The sequence below is a fragment of the Homo sapiens genome, chromosome 15, assembly GCF_000001405.40.
Source record: "Homo sapiens chromosome 15, GRCh38.p14 Primary Assembly".
In the NCBI taxonomy this organism is placed as follows: domain Eukaryota; kingdom Metazoa; phylum Chordata; class Mammalia; order Primates; family Hominidae; genus Homo; species Homo sapiens.
The window spans coordinates 55103200-55104961 of NC_000015.10; positions in this window are offsets into that span (position 1 = coordinate 55103200).

Genomic DNA, 1762 nt, shown 5'->3' on the forward strand with positions numbered 1-1762 from the left:
GTTAGCTGTGTTCTGATTTATTTGTATTTATCCTTTTTTCTCCTTTGACAAGATAAATTCCTTGGAGACATAGCCATGTCTTCTCTTTCCTTGATAATGATTCATTCTAGCCAATGAAATATCCTGAAAAAAAGTGTGTACTCACTTCAGGTGACTCCATCCCCAATCAGTAATCTCCACTTATGTTTTCCTAAGGAGAGCATCCAGTTGTGAAACTATTAGAAAGACCATGGTTTTGCAGGCGGTTAGTATGCGTCTGCAACTTATTTTCAGGTGATATTCTGATCCCCATAATTTCTTTTTCAATTTTTCTCTTTCTCTCCGTATTGCTGTCATCTTTGACTTCAATTCCCTTACTTCAAAAACTTACATTAAATATTTGCAACCATACTGTTTCCACTGGTTCATGTGTACTCTCCTATGAAATTCAAATCACATTTTCCCATAAAACACAAATGCCTAATTGATGAAGGATAATGTGACTTCCCAAGATAGGAGCCCTGATCTCTCCACCCCTCCCACTTCCTGAAGAGTCAAAATGCTACTCCTTTCTCAGAAGGGATGCAAACAAGCAGGGTCGACACCTTGCCCTAGAATACTTCAGCCTGAAGGTGAGATAGCCGTGCTGACCGCCTTGACCCTGTCTGCAGTCCTGCTGAGTGATCTTTCCAGGCCAAATGTTCTCTCTTGCCCTTGTTGAAGCTGTAAGAAACCATTCTATCAGCTACACCAACTTCAGCCCATTAATTTTGCCTGCTTTCATGCCCCAGATCCAACAAGAGAGGGATCATACTGCAGAAGCAAAAAGGAATCTGCCACCCATTATGGTGCCCATGTGCACTGTGGCAATGGGAAGACTTCTATAGGAGGAGAATCAAGAAATATTGAGATTAAAAAAAAAAAAGGCTAATTTAAGCCTGCACATGCCCAGAAAAAGGCTCCCAGGTAATAGTTTGACAAACACAATGCATTGGGAAAAAAATGATAAACTTGAGGATTCAGAAAAACAAGGGCACAGTTAGTTTCTAAAGAACAAAGTCACATTTGGAGGTTGCTGAGATAATTCCAGTTGCAATGCATTCCCTGTGGAGGGAAAATCTGGGTTCAAGCAGAAATGCTCCCTACATCTTGAGTATCTAAAAACTTGGATTTACTCGAACTTTTAGGCTAACCATCTGCCAGAAGTTTAAGCCTGTTTTCTTATATAATCAAAACCTGGGTACAGCTGGTATTAACAATACATCTGTATTACCCATAATTGCTTCAAGCTTCATTTTGGCACGATTAAGGACAATCATAATCCTTTGAAAAGTCCATAGTTTATTCTGTTTAAAGCTACTGTTAGAGTTAAAACATTTTCATTTTTCTCCATTCAATTAATCTGAAATCAAACATGCATTTCTTTTGATTGTGTCAACTTTTATCTTTCATTTCATATACCAAAGTAGTAAGTTTGAGTATTCAGCAGATAGAAATAGATTTATATATTTTGGTTGCTAAATACCTTAAAAATCCTTAAAATATGCAAAATAGTATCACACTTATGCAAAGGTCATATGTAAAGTGGCTTCAGCCATCTGGGTGGAAGCTAAGAACTCACAAATAATTGAAGGTCAGAGTCTCTGGCATAAAAAATAGAGGTTGATTATTGCAACTATAGCTGCCCAGTGGGCTTCTGTTGTTTCTTTACTGCCAACTGGTCACAGCTGTGAGCAGACAAAACCAGACAGTCTGCCAAAGGGTAGGGGTTATCACTGCCAGT